The following is a 21,975-nucleotide window of genomic DNA, read 5'->3' as shown; positions in this document are numbered from 1 at the left end:
ACTGAACTTTTTATGTTTAAAGGGTGCGTTTTATGGCGTGTAAATTATATCCCAGTAGAGCTGCTTAAAATAAGTACTGACTTTTAATACAGCCATTTGTCATTTAAATTAAAGTGCCACAATTTATTTTAAAGGTAAGTCAAGTTAACAATGGTTTGGAACAAAAACAAGATCTTTTTCTAAGATATAAATCACAGTTTTAATATGACTTTTTATTCTGATATTATTAAGACACACAGTAAGCTCACGATACAATCTATTTAAGGTAATGAGAACAAATAAAAGATTATATATTTTCTGCAAATGCAAGTTTCATAAACACTATGGAATAAAAATTGAGAGTTTTAAAATCTCCTCATGGGTAATCCCAACACAGTAGCATAAAGACTATGCAGTGAACATTTACTGCTTAATGGAATTTAAAAAGTTAACATTTTAAAAGCGTTTTATTTTAATTGCCTGATTACTATCTATAGTTAGTTAAATTTCTCTTACCTTGAGCCCATTTAAAAGTATGCAATTTTCTTGTTAAGTGCATTAACAAGATTTTAATGGAGCGCAGGTGCACAGAATTGGAACAAACATTTTTCAAATTAGAAAATAAATATCGTTCATTTGCACCAAATAAATATTTATCAATATTATATATATATAATATATGTGTATATATATAAACTCCACTGAATACATATATGTGTGTGTGTATATATATATATATATATAAAATATTGAATAAAATTCAAAAACATCATGCTCAGTGCATAAAACTAGTCACGAAAGAACACATGTTCAGCGGCTCCACTTCTGTGAAAAGTCCAGAACAGCGAATCTGTGTGACAGAAAGTAGTTAGTGGTTGTCTGGGGCTTGGGGTGTGTGAGTGATATATATATATATAATGGTGTGTGGATGCTTGGTACCTGCTTGGTACATGCCTATACCATGCGTCATATATAATTTTATCCTGTTGATTTATATGTTCTGATTAGAGGCAATGTGGTAAAGCGTAAATTAACTGAACTGGGAATAAAAGTTCTGCATTTTAATTCAGATCACCTCTATGTGATTACCTGAGTCTCAGTTTCTCCAAAATTCTTCAGAGCTCTAGAATCTTAAATATGATTTTTCAATTCTATGAAACATTTTTCAAAATAAAAATTTGTTTTTCAAGGTTTTTATAGGCTTTTAAGCAAATGTATTAATGTACAAGTAACATACAATTTAAGTGCACAATTCTGTCAATTTTGATAAATATATGTGCCTCCGTAAACACCCAAATCAAGATAAAGAACATCCCCATAAACCTTAGAAGTGCTCTCATGCCCCCTTGAAGTCAACCCCACCTCCCCCATTCCAACTCCCAGCCCAGGCAACAACCAATCTGTTTTCCTGCCATGATAGATTAGGATGATCTTTTCTAGAATTTCAAATAAATTGAATCACACATTATGTACTCTTTTGTATCTACTTTCTATTTCTCAGCTTAATGTTTTTGTGATTCATTCATTGTATTGGAGAGATCAGTAATATGTTTGTTTTCATTGTACAAGCATATCAAGTTATATTTGTTTACCCCAAGAGTACAATAGTTTCTTCTATTTTTAAGAAGTGTGTTTGAATTTAATTATTTAGCATGATTGCATTGTACTTTTATTTATAGTATGTAAACGTTATTTCCAAGGAATCCCTGTTGGTTACTAAATTGTCTCTTAAGATACAAGTTGAATCTACAGACCTAATTCTTTGAAGATATCATTCCATATCTGAACATAGAACTCCTGTATTTTGGGTGCCAAATTCTATTTAATAAAAGGGGTAAGTGCTGCTACGAATATGTGGGAATGTTGGAGTGCATACTGCAGTTCATTAATCACATTTCCCTTTAGAGTCTGTATTCCCCTTTCTGCTGGAAATGTTGCTGGTTGAAGGATCAGAGCTGAACATTTCTCTGGGAATTGCTCTTAGAGGGAGGGAATTGTGAACTTCTACAGTACACAACTATCTGTACACTGAACTCAGAAAGGCCAGTTTATAATCATTAGGCAGCACCCAAGATCTGGATTAGGGAAGATGGGTGGAACCAATTGCCAGTCAGTTATTTCCAAATTTGAGATAACTGAGGTATGATAACTGATTTTAGAGGGGTTTTGCCATAATTTTAAATATCTTCAAATCCTGTATAAAGTCTACAAGTAACTAGACCACCATAAGATTTATTAGAACTTCTACCTTCTCACATTGAGAAATTCCTCTAGTCAACTTTAAAAAGGCAATTGTCTCTATCTTTCTCTGCTCTTTTAATTTTGATTCTCTCAGCTATTTCTCCACACTCTCACATTGTTTAGGTTATTGGACTTACAGTACTTCTTGCCATTTGCCTGCATTTCCTTTCTCTGTGTTTTATCTTTCTCACTGCTTTCATGATGCTTTCTGTTCTTCTCATTCTTCTATAGTCCATTCTACTCTATGTGTCATTTGCATTCCTAAATATCATGAACTATGCAATATTGTGCAATAAAAATCACAGGGCTTAAGGGGGTAATGAAGTTTATGGCACAACACTAAAAACTTTATCAGTGTCACATTAAAATAAAAGTAAAAAAGCTAATAAAAATGGTAGCACAATTTTACACCTGTTAAATAGTTGGAGATAGCACAAATACAGTGATAAGTATTTTTTTTTCCCCGAGAAAGAGCTGAAGTTTGCTTGTAGAAGTGTTAGAAGACTTAAAGGCTTTCATTTCTTGTGAAGTGGTAGAAGGAAAGGTATCTGAAATCAGAAAGTTGTAACACAGGTGTCGATGGGCAAATTTATGACATACAAGGGGCATTGAGGTCAGTTTTAGATATTTGAGGAATGGGCATGTGTGCATTTTATGTGTTCCTATGTGGCTTGTTTCAGCCAGGTGTGGTTTTCTGTATTTAGCCAGTGCTTCTCAGGAACAAAATTGCATATTAAAAAAATTTGCATTACATTGAAATTGTTTTATAATATATCTATCATGTTGAAACAAATTCATGTTTTTAAACAAGTGCTGAAAACATGAGCGGAAATGACTGTACTTTCTGTATTTTCTCTCCATACTTTTTGTTTCTACTTATGTTCTTTTTCTCTTAGTTATTTCTCCCAAATTGCTGCACCGTCCTCACTACAAAACTTCTCCAAAGTAGCTAGGCTGAGGAGCATACTTTTATTTATCATTATTATTATTATTATCATTATTACTATTGGTCAGAGCCTCACTCTTTCACCCAGGCTGGAGTGCGCTAATGCAATCATGGCTCACTACAACCTGGACCTTCTGGGCTTAAGCAACCCGCCCACCTCTGCCTCTCTAGTTGCTGGGACTATGGGTGCGTGCCACAACACCTGGCTAATTTTCCTATTTTTTAGAGTTGGAGTCTCCCCATGTTGCCCAGGCAGGTCTCAAACTCCTGGCCTCAAGTGATCCTCCCACCCCAGCTTCCCAAAATACTGGGATTACAAGAGCCAGCCACCACATACAGCCCATACTTTCTTTTCTTTTCTTATTTATTTATTTATTTATTTATTTATTTATTTATTTATTTATTTAAAGGTTGTAAGGCTCTGTTGCCCATGCTGGATTGCTGTGGCATGATCATGGCTCACTACAGCCTCAAACTCCTAGGCTCAAGCCATCCTTTTGCCTCAGCCTCTTGAGCAGCTAGCACTACAGGTGCATGCCACCACACCCTATTTTTTTTTTTTAATTTTTTTCTAGAAATGAGGCCTTGCTATGTCACCCAGGCTGGTCTCAAATTCATCGCCTCAAGCAGTCTCCTGCCTCAGCCTCCCAAAGCACTGGGATTAAAAGAGTGAGCCACAACACCAGGCCTTTTACTTTTTAATTGACAAATAATAAATGTACATATTCGTGAGTTACAATGTAATGTTTTGCTATATGTATACAATGTGGAATGATTCAATCAAGTTAATATATCCATCACTCACTCACTTATCATTTTTGTGGTGAGAGCACTTAAAATCTACTCTTCTAGCAATGTATTATTTATTATTAACTGTAGCTATCATGCTGTGTAATAGACCATTATTCTTACTGTATAATTGAATTATTTTACTCTTTGACTAACATCTCCCATTAACTCATCACAGCTATCCTTTTTTTCCAGCCTCTGGCAACCACCATTCTTCTATCAACTTCTATGAGTTTGACTTTTTAGATTCTACAGATAAGCGAGGTGAAGAAGTATTTGTCTTTCTGTGCCTGGCTTATTTCACTTAGAATAATGTCCTCCAGGCTCATCCATGTTGTCACAAATGACAGAATTTCCTTCTTCTTAGAAACTGAATAGGATTTCATTGTGTATGTATGCCACACTCGCTTTTATCCATTCATCCGTTGATAGACACTTAGTTAGGTTGATTCCGTTTCTTGGCTATTGTAAATAATTTTGCATTGAACATAGGAGTGCAGATATCTCTTCCACACAGTGATTTCAATTCCTTTGGTTATATACCCAGAAGTGAGATTTCTGGATCATATGATAATTTTGATTTTTTGAGGAACTCTCATACCTTTTTCTGTAGTGGCTATACTAATTTACATTTTTACTAGTAGCATACAAGGGTTCCATTTTACCACATTCTTATTCTTTTACCAACACTTATTGGCTTTTTGCTAATAGCCATTCTAACAGGTATGAAGTGATATCTCATCGTGGTTTTAATTTGCATTTTCCTGATGCGTTGTTGGTATTGAGCATTTTTTCATGTATCTGCTGGTCATCTGTATGTCTTCTTTTGAGAAATGTTTATTCAGGTCTCTTCCCTGTTTCTTATCTGGGGATTTATTTTCTTTCTATTGAGTTGTTTGAGTTGTTTATATATTTCGGACTTTAGCTGTAGGGCATACTTCTGAAGACATATTTTTAGAAAACCCTGGTTTCTAAGCAGTCCTTTCGGAAAGAAGAAAAATCAGCTCTCAAAATATTTAACCCCTTTCAACCTCCTTCCTGTGAGTTGTGTGCACACATGATTTTATGTTAATAGCAATATAGAAATAAAAACTTTTCTATACTATATGTTTGTTCCAGCTAGGTCAGATTCACAGCAGGAATAATCTTTGATAAAAAATATTTGGTAAGTTATTCTTCTGGGCATCATTGAAAATAAAACTTAAAAATTTACAAGGGATCTTGAAGAAAAATTTTAAAATTGTACACCTTATAGGTCCTTACCCATTAATTAAAAATAATGTATGGTGTTATATCATAGCATTGTAAATTAATAATAAATTATATATCTAATTTATAAAATAGTAGCTAACACTTAAATGTTTAGGATACATCAATGTTTTATGCTATGTTTTATATATAGAGAGAGCATAGCATAGCATATTTCAAATACATCTATTAAACTGTTTGAAAATTACTGATCTACCTTCATATTTTAATGTCAATTAACAGTTTCCTTAGAAACTTAGTTTTTCGGCAAAACTAGTTCTTTTCAGAATTTCTTATTTCTCACTGTGAAAGCAGTGTCAGTTTAATTTCTTTAAGTTTATTTTAAATTTTAAATTAAAGATGAAAATTCTTAAGTGCCATTTCTTTTTCTATTTCTGCAGCGTTTGTCCAATGGTTCTATAGACTCAACCGATGAAACTAGTCAAATAGTTGAACTACAAGAATTGCTTGAAAAGCAAAACTATGAAATGGCCCAGATGAAAGAACGTTTAGCAGCCCTTTCTTCCCGAGTGGGAGAGGTGGAACAGGAAGCAGAGACAGCAAGAAAGGATCTCATTAAAACAGAAGAAATGAACACCAAGTATCAAAGGGACATTAGGGAGGTAAGTGATTCATGCCACTTTCAGTCTTTGATTTCTGAATGCTGCTTCTGAGATACTGTTTCCATAATTTCCCGTAATGACCATACACTTTTTACTTCTCAAAAGACCATACTTTGGCATGCATTATATTAGTTATGAAACTTGTTCAATAGCGCAAACATAGTTTACTTCATGAGCATTTTAAATGCCCATGATATATGGAAAGAAATTTGTGCTATCAAGGGTCAGATATAACAAAGACATTCTGAAGCTGTTAATAAAATTTTTTAAATGTAAGCTTTTAATTTTAAATAACTCTAGATATGTGTATGAATCATGAATTGCTATACTCTTAGCATATAGGAATACTACAAAAATGCCTTAAATTGTTCCATTGCTTATTTTGGTTTTGTGTCATGAAGGGGAATGTATCTCTGTTAATATACATATACACGCATATGTATAACATGACCTTTCTTTGTCTATATATTAAATTCCTGTTAGACATAACATCCCTTTTTCTACTTAAAAAAATGAGTACTTTAGTCATTTCTCAGTCTCTTGGCTAATATCAAGTGAAGAGAGTACTTTAAGTTACTAAAAAAAAATACTAGGAGATGTTTAATTTGTAACACTGTCAAATCATTTTACCTGCTAAGGTGAAAGTTTAGAATCTTTTCACTTTTTCACCTTTTCAGTCACAACTGAAAAGAAAATTATATTTGTGGAAATTGCGTTTTCTGACTTTTTGCCTTTTCCATTTTTACATATTCTTTTAAATGTATTTTTATCTTTTAAAAGTATCTTTTGTATATAACTAGCTAGTTGTTCATCAAGTTGGCCCTATTCTATGTGTCCAATTCTTTTCTTCCCATTCTCTCGTAAGCCAATTGTATCTTACTTTTTCCCTGACTGTTCCACCAAAACTCTTCTCATAAAAGTCATTACTGACCTCCATGTTACTGAATCCAAGGTTCAATTCTCAGTCTTCTGAAGCACTTGATCCATTTTCCAGAGGACTTCTTCACTGGGCTCATAGCACATTATCCTCTTCTGGTTTTCATCCGTATTTACTTGCTTACCTCTTCGAAGGCTCCTTTACTGCTTCTATTTCTCCTCCCCGACCTTGGAGTGTCTTCCCTTCTCTACCTACCTTTATTTCCCTGGTGAATTTCTGCAGTCTCATGGCTCCAAAAGCCACCATCATCTTAGGATTCCCAATTAATATCTCCAACTTGTCCTTCTTTCCTGATTTCCAGATGTTTCTCTCTCAGTCACTAAGGGATATCTCAAAATTAGCACTTCAGACTCTTTTCTTGATATTTTCTCAGCAAACCAGACCCTCCTGCAGTCTTCCTTATCCATTATTATTGTTGCTCAGGCCAACAATCTTGAAGCTGTCCTTAAGATCTCTCCCCTCACACACTTGCTTTGATTCAGCAGTAAATCCTGTTATTTACAATTTCAAAGTATTCATAATGGGACCTCTTCTCAGAATCTTCATGGCTTTTGCTTTTTCTACACAATCACTTTCTCTCACTGGATTATTTCAATGGTCATCTGTTTCCTGGTCTTCCTGCTCATGCGTTCAGCTCACCTCAGTCTGTGCTCAACACAGCAGCTTGAGCAGCCTGCCTATAAGTCAGTTCATGTCACTTTTCTGCTTAAAACTTTTCAGTGACTACCTATTCTACTTACACTATTATCAAAACCCTCACAGTGGTCTACAAGCCATGTACAATCTCTCTACTACCACCTTCCTGACCTCTTGGAGATCATCTACTGTCTCATCCTAACATGCTCTGCTCAACTGGAGTGACCTCTTAAGCAAGCCAGACCTGTTTTGTTACATTTTCTTTTCTCTCTGCCTTTTGTTCAATGTTGTTTTCTCAGTGAAATGTCCCCTGACCTTGTTATTTACACATATACACTCTCCCTCTTCTTTTGTTTGCTTATCCCACAGGACTTTCTATCACCTGACACAATGTATATTTTACTGATATACTTGGTTATCATATGCCTCCCACCCCAACTATTCGTAAACATCTATAAGAGCTAGGGTTTTTTTCTTGTTTTGTTCACTGCTGTCTTCAGAGAACCTGCGCAGCTATTGATTGTATAATAGGCACTCAAAAAATCTTTGCTGAAAGAATAGATATTTATAAGTAAATATCAGAAGGTGTGAATGATATCAGAATATGTACTACGACAATGCCTGAAAGCAAAACAAAACAAAACAAAACAAAAAAAAGAGATAGATGAACCATGAAGTGGTAGACTGCTCCACTGCAGCACAGATAATGATACAACTTTTTATGAATTAATATAATAGTTCATGGATGCATCTCTTCTCTTCACTACTCCCCACAATTCAAACTCAGAGAATTCATAAAGTAAAGGCAGTTTAACCCCTCTTCTGTATCACTGTTAAGGAATTACTAGGATTTCTGGCTATCAAATCACCGGGCTCACTTCTTGGTCTGTTGTTCATTCTCTCCATCTTCATTCTCTTGGCCCTGGAGATTTAGATGATTTCCTTTCATCTTAGTACTCATTGCTCTATTAATGCTTATCTAATCCAGCATCACTTACAGGTAAGGCCCAACATTCAATCCCCATTTTCTAACTGCCTATTTAAAAATAACTCCTTGATACTAATAGCCTCTGAATGTAGGTAACAAAACACCCAGTCAGATGGAAAATGTCACTCCTATGATGCCAGGTGTTCTTTTATTAAGAATCCATTCTAATGGGCAAAACGTTCTCCTTTCATGTGGAATTATTTTAAAATACAACTACTCTTATCAGCCCCATCGTTTCTATGTATATATTTTAGAAGAGTTTCCTGAGAAAGGAATATCTCTCATCATCCACCTTTGAAGGGAGGTTGCAAACACAAATGTTTTCAGAGCCAGGCTGGCAATGGAAAAGTGTAAAGTGCCAGGTGCAAGACTGTAGGAACTGATGGCGTTGATGAAACCTGTGAAATGGCCTACACTCAGCCTGCGTTACTGCATGCATCACTTTTTTTTTTTTGTATACACACACACACACACACACACACACACACACACACACACAGCACTGTGAAAGCTAAATAAACGAATTCTGAAATATTCAGGTCTCAAGACCCAGGCCCATGGTTTATGAAAGATTTTTTAAGGACGAGTCACATGTGAAAACTATTACGGGTGTATTACATGGAAAGTCTCAAATTCCTCACAACTGGCAAAAGGGGCAATGCTAATTATTATCTCCATTTTTCTCAGATGAGACCCACAAGGTTCAGTGAGGTAAAGTAACTTGCCAAAGATCTATGCAGTTCCCTCCTCGGCAGCACGGAAGAGAAATAAGATCAGCATGGCTTCAAAACCTGTGCTTCTTCCACTATGAACTGCTTCCAAAATCAACACAGCACAATAAATAATTCAGTGATAGCAACTATCATAAAATGAAGCTACAACATAACTGTCCTCTAAATAATCAATATTTGGATCTTTTTTTTTCAATAAGCAGGAAGATGTGAAAATCACGTACTTAAAAAACAAATTACTTAGCACTTAAAGCTTTTATTTTCCTGAATAATATTTTTCCGGGTTATGGTCACATAGAGTCAACTGGATTGCAAGTTTCTTTTCCTTTTCTTAATTATTCTTTTAAAATATTATTTATTTATTTTAGAGAAAGAGTCTTGCTCTGTTGTCCAGGCTGAAGTGCAGTAGTGTTTTCAGCTCACTGCAACCTCGAACTCCTAGGCTCAAGCAATCCTCTCACCTCAGCCTTTGGAGTAGCTAAGACTACAGGGCACATGTCACGATGTCTGGAAAATTTTTGTGTTTTTTGTAGAGAAAGGGTCCCACTATGTTGCTTAGGCTGGTCTCAAATTCCTGGTTCAAGGGATCCTCCCACCTCATCCTCCCAGTGGGCTGCAATTATAGGCATAAGCCACGGATTGCAAGTTTCTTAGTAGAAAAAAATAAGCTCGTTTTTCTTGATACTCCTATAGCATTGCTAGCATAGTATGATTTATAAATTGTACAGGTAATAAATGTATGTTGTAATAATTGAGTAAAAATTAGGAAATAAGAAAAAACAACCATATAATAAAAAACAGAAATATAATTTGCTTTGCATGTGAGGACATTCTAAGGTATCTAAAATTAACTATTACTTTGAATAGCAAAAACTGCAATTACTTTTGCACCAATCTAATTTATAAATATGTTCCACTGATGGCTTCAGAATATACTTTTGTAATTTTTCTTTGTCAAAAAAGAAATTATCCAAAATTTAATTTCATTTTACATTTTGTCTTCAAACAAAACTCCTTAAATTGATTTTGATCTAGGAAGAATACGTGAGTTGGATTAAAGCTAGACACAGCACTCAAATTAGAAAAATAGACAATCTCATACAAGTGGATTATCTCTCCAGTTTTTAATCAAAAGGATTATTAATTGTGTATGGATAATGATATATCAAATACATAGCTGTGCCAGTAGCTAAAATTTTCAGTGGAGTATTTTAATTACATTTTGTTTTGTGAATAAAACCATCCTGTATTTCCAACTTCCTATTAACAGTTCTTCAGAATTTCACTATGTGATTAAATGAATTAAATACATCTCAGTGTTGCCTTTTCTGTTATCTGAAACATGTAGTTATATTTTTCACTTTAATAGATCTAAATTACCAGAGAGTTATATTTATTAAATATGAACAAAATCCAATTTATACATGAACTTCAGGTCAAGAGATCATTGAATCTTTATTTTTTCTCATTTTTTTTGTAGGTAGCAAGTTTTAGGGACTAGAAAAAGCTTCCTCTTTCAGAATTTTTCAAATGACAGAGGGAAAAGCTATTTCTCTGACTTGTAAATCCAGTTTATTTTTGGCAACACAGCCTGCAGTTAAAAATTGAATCTCCCACATGAATCACTGAATCAAAAAATGCAGTACCAAAATTACAAAATGCAAAAATTCCTGCATGTAATCTACGTCATAGAGTGAGATCATCTAATTGTGTACATAATAGTAATTAATAATAAATAACAGCTATTATTTATCGAGGGTGTTTTCTGCATGAGACACCATACAAAGCACTTCCTGATTCTTAACAACAATGCTATGTGCTACATATTAGAATCTCAACCCACACAATATATGAAGAAGGTGAAGCACGGAAAAGGTGACCAATACTGATCCCTTATAACAGAGTTAATAAGTGTCCCAAACTAGCATTTGGAGCAAGTATGTACTACTTCAGTGCTCACGTTCTTGAGAAATGTGTGTATATCTTTTATTGACTTTATTGCTGTTAAAATTTAGTAAGAAGTTTATTTACACAGGTTAGCTTTAGACTTTTCTCTTCAGACCACAAAATTTTCCCAGAGTTCTGTTTGCAAATGAAACTGACAGAATACAATATTAAGCACTCTGAAAAGATCCTCTAAGATAAAAACTCTACCATCATTGAGATAAAAAATATGTAAAGTAGAAAAAGTCAAAAGTGAAAATAAATAGCTTTTTAAATAGTAGGCATTATTTAGGATATCTAAAATCTAGGAGTATGTATATAATATTTCTTAAAAATTAGTCTGGCTATTTTTTGCTGAATTCATAGATTAAATTTAATTTTTTATGTTTGCACTTTAATGTCAACATAATTAATCAAGTAGCTTTTGACTGGGTCTTGGTGGTCAGTAGGATTGAGCTAGACAAAGAAGACAGCACACATTCCAGGTAGACATGATGTCAGAGTGCATTAGTTTTGTAAACCTGCCATAACAAATTGCCACCAACTGGGTGGCTTAAAACAACCATAATTTAGTCACTCACTGTTTTGGAGGCTTTAAGTCTGAAATCAATGTTTCAGCAGGGCCATATTCTCTCTGAAGGCTCTAGTGAGATTTCTTCTTCCCCCCTTCTAGCTTCTAATGGTTACTGGGAGTCATTGGCATTCTTGGCTGGTAGCAGTACAACTCCGTATAACGCAATTCTCTGACTGACTTCCTCCTTCTTCCCGGTATATCTCTGTGTCCCCAAATCCCCTCCTTGTAAAAACACCAGTCATTGGATTTAGGGCCTATCCTAATCCTGTGTGACCTCATCTTAACTTGATTATGTCAACAAAATCTTATTTGCACATAAGGTCACATTCACAGGTTCAGAGTGGACACGAATTTTGGGGGGATGTTATTAGCCCCAGTACACTGAAGTAAGGAAGTATCAGGTCACAAAACCACTTTTATTCCAGGCTTTGTAGCTCAGATTTTACCCTGAAGATGGAGGGGAAGAAATAAAAGTATTGAAACCAAGAAGCAATATGATCATTTAGAAATATCTCTCAGGCAGCAGCGTGGAGGAAAAGTAAGGAGAATAAAAGACAAAAAATACAAGAGAGAGAGCTAACTTGTGGGTGGGCAGGAGACTAGGGACAACATGATGAGTTTCATGGTGGATCTATTCCTTTTTCTTTTTTTTTTTTTCTTGAAATGGAGTCTTGCCCTGTGGCCCAGGCTGGAGTGCAGTGGTGCGATCTCGGCTCACTGCAACCTCCACCTCCCAGGTTCAAGCGATTCTCAGGCCTCGGCCTCTCTGAGTAGCTGGGATTACAGGCATGAGCCATGATGCCCAGCTAAGTTTTTTGTATTTTTAGTAGAGACGGGATTTCACCATGTTAGCCAGGCAGGCTGGTCTCGAACTCCTGACCTCAAGAGATCTGCCCACCTTGGCCTCCCAAAATGCTGGGATTACAGGTGTGAGCCATCGCCTCTGGCTGATCTATTACTTTTTAATTAATTTTAATTTTTTATATATACAAAAATTCTCAAAGTCAAATAATGGCACGTATAAATATGGTACATGTATAAACACACACAGCATCTCACTTCAAGTTTTCATCCCATTTCCCTGAAATTCTTAATTTCAACCCTTTTATCCACTACTTCTGGTATTTTCTCTCTTTATTTAAACAAAATTTATGTCTTGCTATTATATTAGATTAGGACATTACCTATTTTATTTCTTATTTTACTTTTTATTCAACCTATCTTTTCATTAGAGTTATCATCTGAAAAAAAAAAGAAAGAAAATTGGAAGAAAGGCTGTCTGTTTATCTGATTATTATATGTGACAGGACTGGCTCTGGACCCTGTAGGAGAGTGACAAAGGCACTGATTAAGAATAAGTGATGAAATGATTCTGGATAATAAGATATGGAAACTATAGCCATTTCCTCAATTCCAGGATCCTTATACAAAGAAGCTTCCCACATTCTCAGGAAACAATTCCAGGCCAATGAGCCTCACTTCTGCACTTGATTTTCACCCAACATCTTGTCAATAAAGTAGGTTATCTAACTACCAATAAATTTCCATGTAAGCTGTGAGGTAAAATTATCTCCATATTACTATCTATAAATTCTATTATTTAAAAATTACTGTTTAAAATATTATCAATGCCATGATTTTCTCCACTTGAACTTGATTTTTTCCTATATTTATGTGTTCATGGACTTCTTTAAAATCTTATGTAATTGAAACATATATAACTAGGTAAATGGCTAAGTTTCTAAGTCAGCTGGTAAACTTATAAATAAGATCCAAATGTACTATTTTTTTTTTTGGCCTGGCCTTTTAACCACAGAGTTCCTCTTTCTTAATGTAAAGGTAAGAATACGGATGGTATTTGTTATCTATTTGAAGACTGCTTTACAATTTAGAACTGTAGCCACCATTTTAACAATTTTATGATTTGCAACTCTACTCATTATTGTACTTAATTTTACTGCATAATGAACTAATTTATCTGCCACTTGTCTTACAAGAATGCCAATTCTACAGTAGAGAGTTTCAAAAGCTACTCCATTGCATTCTTAGACAGCAGAAAGCTTTTGGTTAACCGAAGATACAAAAATAATTCTGATAGCTAAGTTGGGAACATGCACCTGCAATCTCACATTCGTTCAATGAAAAGAAAGGAATGAGTATTTACTTCAAGAATGCAATAGTTTTTATGTTTCTTTTTTATTTAACTAACAAGACAATAATTAAACAATCTGAGAATCTGATTTGCTTTTTCTAAATTATTTTAATTGTAGGCCATGGCACAAAAGGAAGATATGGAAGAAAGAATTACAACCCTTGAAAAGCGTTACCTCAGTGCTCAGAGAGAATCTACCTCCATACATGACATGAATGATAAACTAGAAAATGAGTTAGCAAATAAAGAAGCTATCCTGCGGCAGGTTCAGTATCTCTGTCTTGGTTTTCTTCTGGTCTGTGCGTTCTCATCATTCTCACAAAACGGAGTAAATAAAATAGGGTACTTCTTGACAGATGTTTGAGTAATCATTCTCTAAAATTTGAAATTCTCTAGCAAAACAAATACGATTTTCAGTGTGAAATTTACTTTCCAGAAAGATAAATTATTTATCTTAATAGTAATACAAATAATGACTCTGATTTACTTTTCATATAGGCATGAGCCAGAATCTGTGCTAAACAGTTTTCATGTATTACCTCACTTAATTCTAACCACCACCTATGAAGTAGGTGGCGTTATTGTAGTAAAGACACTACAGTTCAGAGACAGTCAGACTTTCCCAAGATCATACATCTGCTAAACACCAGAGCCAATAATGGAATACTAAGTTTATTGGGCTCTAGAGCAGAAACAGGCAAACTATAGCCGTGGGCCAAAGCTGGTTGGTTGCCTGCTCTTGTTAATAAAGTCTTATTGGAACACAGCCATGCCCAATCATTTAATCATTGTCTATGACTGTTTTTGTGCTACAACGCAGTTGAGTATTTGGGATTGAGGCCATATGATACAGGAGGCCTAACATTTTTACTATCTGACCTGTTACAGAAAATGTTTGTCAACCTTATCTCTAGAGCCTGGATCATCATGCTACATTACCTCTCCAACTCCAGTCTAAATACCATGATTTTCAATATTTTGCTACGGTGGTATATCTGATGTCTTAGTACTGAGCTATATTCCCTTTGTTAAAATGTATACTCATGAGTAATTTCTTTCCTTTTTGCTGCCAGTGGTAAGAGCTTCTTCATTGTTTTAATGTGCTGAAATGTATGAAGGAAACAGATAAGCAATATATGATAACAAGACAACAATCAACACTTTGCACATTTAGGTGTGGTAGTGGCTGATTTAAATCTAGAATCATGGCTGAAGTGCAAAGCCCCTGGCGACTGGTGTTTGCTATCCAAACTCTGACTCTTTAAGTGTCTCTGCTCCCATTCCCATTTCAGATGGAAGAGAAAAACAGACAGTTACAAGAACGTCTTGAGCTAGCTGAACAAAAGTTGCAGCAGACCATGAGAAAGGCTGAAACCTTGCCTGAAGTAGAGGCTGAACTGGCTCAGAGAATTGCAGCCCTAACCAAGGTACTGCACTAGAACAACTGGTCAACCTAGATATATTTGTAGAAAGGACTTGTAATCAAAATGGAATGTGTAAAGATTTTCTATAGGCTTTATGAAAATTAAGTTTAATCTCTATTATATTGAGCTGTTATTAAGTCAATTTTTTTCTTGTCATACATATTTATGCCAGCAGGAATAATTGTTATACAAATGTGATGATCCCCCTGCCTATTTAAACATTAACAAAACAAGTAAAATTTCATGTCATTGTTATAGTTAATTTTCCATGGTAATATTTGTATAATAATCCTGGAGATAAACAAAAAAGATAATGTTATATGAGACATAACAATTTAACAGGCTTCACATCAATTGCTATTAGAAGTATAGAGAATATCATAACTTCTTGATTCCTCTCCAACTACAGTATAAAACTTGTTAGAAGTGGGAAGTTAGACTTATAAAAGTCTGAGGTCTAAAACAATTAAAAATCAGAAAGCAGTTTTATAGTTGTAATTTCATCTGAAAATTAAAATCAATAATACGCTGAAGAGTGTTCAAAATTTTCTGTATAATATGGCCAGTAGATTCTGCAACTATCTGAATATTTTAGAATTTTACAAGCATTATAATGTTAAAAAGAACTATTCTGACCTCTGACAATCAAACGGAAATGGCATCATTTCAAAGTGTATGTATATGTCACAAGTTATATAAAACTACATTTTGTCACTAAAAGCATGTTTGACATTTAATATGAATTCAAAAATAATCACACAATTTATATTTTTATACAATCATTAATATTTGCTAAGTTTTCAAGGCCACTACAATAAGTGAGTATGATAGGTATCTGGACTTCAAGTTTAAAATTACGGGATTAGGATTTACCCAAAATAATTGATGCAGCAATGAAGTAGACACACACATCTGATTTTCTAAAAAAGCAAATAATTAAAAATGAACAGTGGACTGATCTTCCTGTTGGTTAAAATAGGACAATTAACCAGGTAATGAAAGACAAACCTTTGACTGCGTAGAGCAGGATTAGAGAGCATTTAAATAGTTGCTTGTTTACAGAGTGTTGGAGTAACTAGTTGGATAAAACTGATTAAGATGGGATTATAATTTGGATCGTTCTGTAGTCACAAACCATGCCAGTAAACCACTCTGGCAATTTCAGGAATATGTGATTTCTAAGATAAAGATTAATTTATCATTTAATTTGAAAAAATATTTAAACATGTTCATATTATTTCATTTTTTCTTGCAAACACAGATCTTAAATGACTATAACCTAGACTAAGATATGCATAATTAGGCCTTTCATCTAAAGAACATAAAGGACTTTCAAAAAGAGTTATCTTTTTCAATTGCACTGTTTTGGGGGGTTAGATGAGTTACTGAATAAGAAAAATAACTTTTGTAAAATTGTAGCTTAAAATAATTATCAATATTATCTTGACTAAAACACAAGAAAATCTGCAATTTCCCCCAAGTAACACAATTTACAATTCAGAAAATCACTGCCCCACATTAACCTTTGATAGACTGAGAATAAAAACAATTTAAAATATAATATTTGACATAAAAAACACTATATTAAATACTCCCAAGAATTATTGATTTAGAATATATAAAAATAACTGGAATTAGGTGCCTTATATTTTTTCCTCTTATCTTGTCTAGTCTGTTAAGTTGATATATATATATCTTGGGCACAATATTACCTTGGGCACAAAAAATAGCTCCCCTCAGCTTTCTCCTCCCTTTACTGTCCCTGAACCTCTTTGATTTCATTTTTCAGAAAATTGGAATTCTTCCAAAAAGTCTTCAAATGCTCTGATTCACTCTCCTTTTTATCACTTTCTCTTCTGACTGGTGCTTTGTCAACAACATATTTTAAATATATACTTTTTATATTATGACCATATTTTATTCATTATGAAAGCTCCTTAAGTACTGAGATTTTATCCTGAACACATTCCTTTTGCCTGTCATTTTTTTTTTTTAAACATTTGAGGATCACTCTTTCATTCCTTTTCCCAAGTTTTGTGGTTTCAACAGCCTTGTACTTTTTCTTGTACTCTGTTCTCAAGACCTTTAGGGTCTATTTTTATATCTGTTTTTTTTTTTTTTTTCTGTTTCAATTTGTTTCTGATATTTCCTTATTATGGATCATCATAGTCTTTTTCTGTTCATTAACCTTTTGACTACTCACTAAAGTAAAAATATTTCTTCTTAGCTTAAACATGGGTTCCTCCTCCTATATTTTGAATGATATTCTTAATAACCCCTCAGACATTTTATTTCACCAATATACGTTTTTCTACTTTACTGTCACCTTTTTTTCTTCTTTTTTCTAGGTCTTTCTCTTTAAATTTAATTTCTTCTCCCTTTCTGAGGTTATTCATGTTCTCAAAACCATTTCTGCCTGTAGTTCATCCTAAAACTTTAGTATATTTTAAATTTTCCTATATCATATTAAGGAGTGAAACTAAGATAAACAGTTTTTCACCAAGGAGTATAAAAAATAGCAGACTGTTTCTGTGTGATCTTTGTATTTACAACAATTGCTAAAACTATAGTTTTCACATAGAATGCAAATCAGTAGTGTTGGTTGAAAATTGGTCCCAGTATATATTATTTAGATGGGATGTCTGAATGCATTCTTTGGTTGATAAACTATTTTTCTCCTTCTAATGTGTTTGTGTGTGTGTGTGTGTTTGTGTGTGTGTGTGTGTTTGTGTGTGTGTGTGTATAGGCAAAGCTTATTTATGTCTTTTAGAAAGTCAGAATGATTGATTAATGGTTATGGATACAACTAAAAGTTTTGCTTTGGCGAGTTTATACGCAATTAACCAATAAAGATTACTTTGGGCTCCCAGTCTTATGATTTATAATATCTACTTTTTAATTAAAATGCATATTCCTTTAGCAAGGACATAATTCATCTTGAATGAGGTATTTTATTTATTTCTAGTACCAATAAAATGTATCAGCAATAATAGGAATTTAAACAGGACCAAATTCTTTTTTTTTCTCTGAAGGGAATTTTCACAATTTTGGTGTTTTGTGTGTTTTTTCTTTTTAAGTTTGATGTGTTTTTAATAAGTAAACAGAAACAACTAGAAGTTTTAAAGACCTCTAAAAACTTGTATTTTTGAAGACACAGTTTTGGCAGCTGAAATATTCATGTCTCAAGTGTCTTGAGTCAGTCACCTAATTAATTTAAACACTACTAACTGCATGTTAAAATGTAATTTTGAAGGATCACAGATATCTTTATGAATTTAGATTATATAATTTCAACAACATTTTGATCCACTTACTCTAAAATTTAAATAATATTATTTAAATTTTTATTTTTAATAAAATATATTTTTAAATAATATTATTTAAAAAATTATGGCATTTGGGGACCATGGTAACTCTGTATAGCTTCTAAATTGGAAATTTGAGGACGACTTGGAGGAAAGGAATTGGTTATCATGTCTTTATTATCTTCCACATTTATAAAATAAGAATATCAGAAGGAAAGCCTTACAAAATGTAAATGTTGAATTGTAGTTTGCATAAGCACACCAGAATTGAAATGTTAAATGTTTGCTTTCATAGATTAAATTTGAATTTATTGCATAAAATAGTATATATGCATCTGAATCAAATGAATAGGTTACTATTTCTTTTCAGTTACTGCATGACATATTTATATATAGTTCTATATTGGCATAAAGTGAGTTTCACTGTTTTAGAATGAGCTTATAAAATGTGACAGAATATGCTGTGGAGTTAAATTTGTAGTCCTGACATAGAGTCCTTTAAATGTAATAATTACTTAACTTGCAATGATTAAAATGTTGATATAACTTCATATGTAATCCTTGCATAACATACTAACAATTTTGCTATCAGCAATGTCACATGTGTTGAACACTCTGCACCTGTGGTAACCTGACGGTCACCTCCAAGACATGTATCTAACCTTGGCACTGGGCAAACATGAGCTTACAAGGAAACTGTGCTGCCTATTCACTTTAGGCACTATTTTGTTTCCACAGCAACAAATCAATGCAGGAACAGTTTGGGATTGGCCCCTAATGTCATTTAGGAGAGTCACAAACAAGATTTCTTGTTCTCACAGCATTGTTGTCAATTGATAATTTGAGGACTTTCAATCATTTTCATTTAAAATTTCTAATTAAACCTATCTGAGAGTAAGCCATTAAATTCTAGACCAATATCTGAGAGTGGACCGTTAGACCAATATTTGAGACCAAGTATCTGAGAGTAGGCCATTAGATTCTAGACCAATGACCATAGTGTGCATTCAGAGACCAGAAGTCATTTCATAAGTTTTCCTGTTGCTGAGGAAACTCAATCTTGCTTGAATTGGGGACTACTCACAATAACCCCCAGGCTTAGTTTTTTTATCTTTTTTTCTACAGAGCAAGGTTTAGAATAAATTTTGTTCCAAATTAATTACACCTGAGTCATTGTCTAGCATTTTCCTCAACATTGTGAAACTACTGTTTCCATTATTTTTAAGTAATATAGACAAACAAACCCTAATACAAACTTTTAACAATCTATCAGAGACATATTCTGGTGTTTGGTTTCCCATAATTCCAATTATTATATAACTCTTTCAGAGTTGCTTTATTCATTCTGTAGTAGTCTTTCATTGCCAGCCATCACTAACCTTTCATATCTTAGGTTGATAGCTTTTTATTTTAGTATATTATTGTTTTTTATTTAAAACCATCAACTGCATCGTGTTCACCAAATATCAATGTAGTTCTTTCCACATAAAATTCTGTCTATTAAAGTATTAAATTTGCTGTCACACTTTTCTTTTAAGCATTCTGTGCTATGTTCTGTTTGGTGTCAGTGTCTTTAGTTCTGATTTTTCAATTTTGTCCCTCTCCTTTTCCTTGACTCGTTAGTCTGATCCAACCTCTTCTACCTCATCTGATGATTATCAATATGTTATGGAAGCTAAACTACAAGAAATGATCTCCATACGTAGGAAGGTAGTCCTACTGGACTTTACTTTCTATTGCTAAATAGAATCCATCTAAGTTTTTCTTTTCATTTATAAAAATTATGTTACTTTTATTTATTGATAATCAACCATCTGTGCAGTTCAGTGCTTCAGGAGCTTAAGATTGGACAATGGCAGGTTTGTGTTCAAACCATGCACAGTCTGCATGTTACATTTGGCTGATTTCATTGCTCATAAATAACTCCAATGTTTTGCTGATGCTTGGATGTAACAGGCCTTTGTAGCTGACACATTTCAAGCAATGCTGTTCAGCTGCCTGTTTGAAGAAAGTTTATTTTTTAAAAACTATGTTTGCAGTTGGTAGTAGCTTGCTTTACATTTTATTTCAATTTATTTAGAGGAAAAGTGTTAACCAAATCTTACATTTCAGGTGTATTCTTCATATTTCTTAACAGGCTGAAGAGAGACATGGAAATATTGAAGAACGTATGAGACATTTAGAGGGTCAACTTGAAGAGAAGAATCAAGAACTTCAAAGAGTATGTATATTAAGAACTATTACCCCCCAATCATTGGTTTATGAATTCGTATTCTGTATATAAGAAGAAAGCCTTTAACTGAGTATGGGTTATATTTAAAACTTACAAATATGACCTGTTGACTTGAATAAAATGTTTCCACCACTTTAATCAAAACAGATGTAAAATTAAATTCAATTTAAAACTAGCAACACTATAAAAATAATCTCAAACAGTTTTTGAATGGATTTTTATGTCATTTTTTAAAATGTAAGGCTAGGCAAAGAGAGAAAATGAATGAGGAGCATAACAAGAGATTATCGGATACGGTTGATAGACTTCTGACTGAATCCAATGAACGCCTACAACTACACTTAAAGGAAAGAATGGCTGCTCTAGAAGAAAAGGTAAAACGATAGAAGGGTAAAATCACATGAATATTTTGCAATGCTCATGTTTGTTTTATATACAGCTGCAATCATTGTAATGGTCAGATGATCCATTTACTTAGTTTTTAAAAATGCCTGGTATATTCTTAGAAAGGAATGCATATTTTTTATTTAAAAAAGTGTAAGATCAAATTTGGGATGAATAAAAAATTTGCATGATATATAAATCTTTTATATTCACATGTTCATATGAGGCAAATGTATTAAAATATGCTGTGCTTTTATGATGAAAATATTTTATATATCCTTTGCCTGGTATGCAAAATAGAAAAGTGATGAGACACAAGTCAATACTTTTTTGGGGGGAAGGTGATTTGAAATATTCACGTGTCAAGTGACTGATACCTACACACCAGTCTAAAAGTCAAAATGTAAGTGAGTTTATATCATCAAAAGAACTAGTATCAATCCCAGTAGAGGGTTTAGGAACCCAGTATTTTCAGCTGCATTATTTCAGAAATAGTGCTTCTGTACAGTCTGCAATGTGATTTACAGTTATATATGTCTCATTGATAGTTGGCAGCTACCAGACCAGCAAGAGTTATGAGAGCTGGTTACCAATTCCAGAGCATAAATTAAGGTAGGGTATAAAACCCGGATGATCACATCATTTTAGAAATCTAGATTGAATGCCAATCACTATTTTAGCTAGACATTTTCCATTAGTACATAAAATAAACCAAAATAGGGAAAATGTTTTGACAAAAAGTTAGTTTGATTAATTTACCCATTAGAAAGTAATAAGACATGACTTCCTCTCATACAACTTCAAATACATGGCCCCTATGCAATTACTACACTCTTAGTTT

The 21,975-nt window shown here is 33.6% G+C and overlaps 1 protein-coding gene across 51 annotated transcripts in view; it reads left to right on the top strand.

The window, feature by feature from the left end:
* Window positions 1-21,975, top strand: part of PPFIA2 (PPFI scaffold protein A2) — a 501,376-nt gene that overhangs the window by 369,502 nt on the left and 109,899 nt on the right. For 48 of the 51 annotated variants that reach the window (XM_024449242.2, XM_017020107.3, XM_024449240.2 and 45 more), the window contains 5 exons: window positions 5,605-5,826; window positions 13,907-14,053; window positions 15,081-15,215; window positions 20,655-20,738; window positions 20,993-21,124. In XM_024449242.2, coding sequence (XP_024305010.1) covers window positions 5,605-5,826; window positions 13,907-14,053; window positions 15,081-15,215; window positions 20,655-20,738; window positions 20,993-21,124 — 720 coding nt within the window. Of the gene's footprint in view, window positions 1-5,604; window positions 5,827-13,906; window positions 14,054-15,080; window positions 15,216-19,961; window positions 20,228-20,479; window positions 20,560-20,654; window positions 20,739-20,992; window positions 21,125-21,682; window positions 21,747-21,975 lie in introns of those variants that run through there. The other 3 variants (NM_001220480.3, XM_024449245.2, NM_001220479.3) reach the window with 3 other exon arrangements.

This window comes from Homo sapiens, chromosome 12 (assembly GCF_000001405.40).
Source record: "Homo sapiens chromosome 12, GRCh38.p14 Primary Assembly".
Classification (NCBI taxonomy): Eukaryota; Metazoa; Chordata; class Mammalia; order Primates; family Hominidae; genus Homo; species Homo sapiens.
Note: the sequence above shows the minus strand (reverse complement) of the source record. Positions and strands in the feature narration are given on the sequence as shown.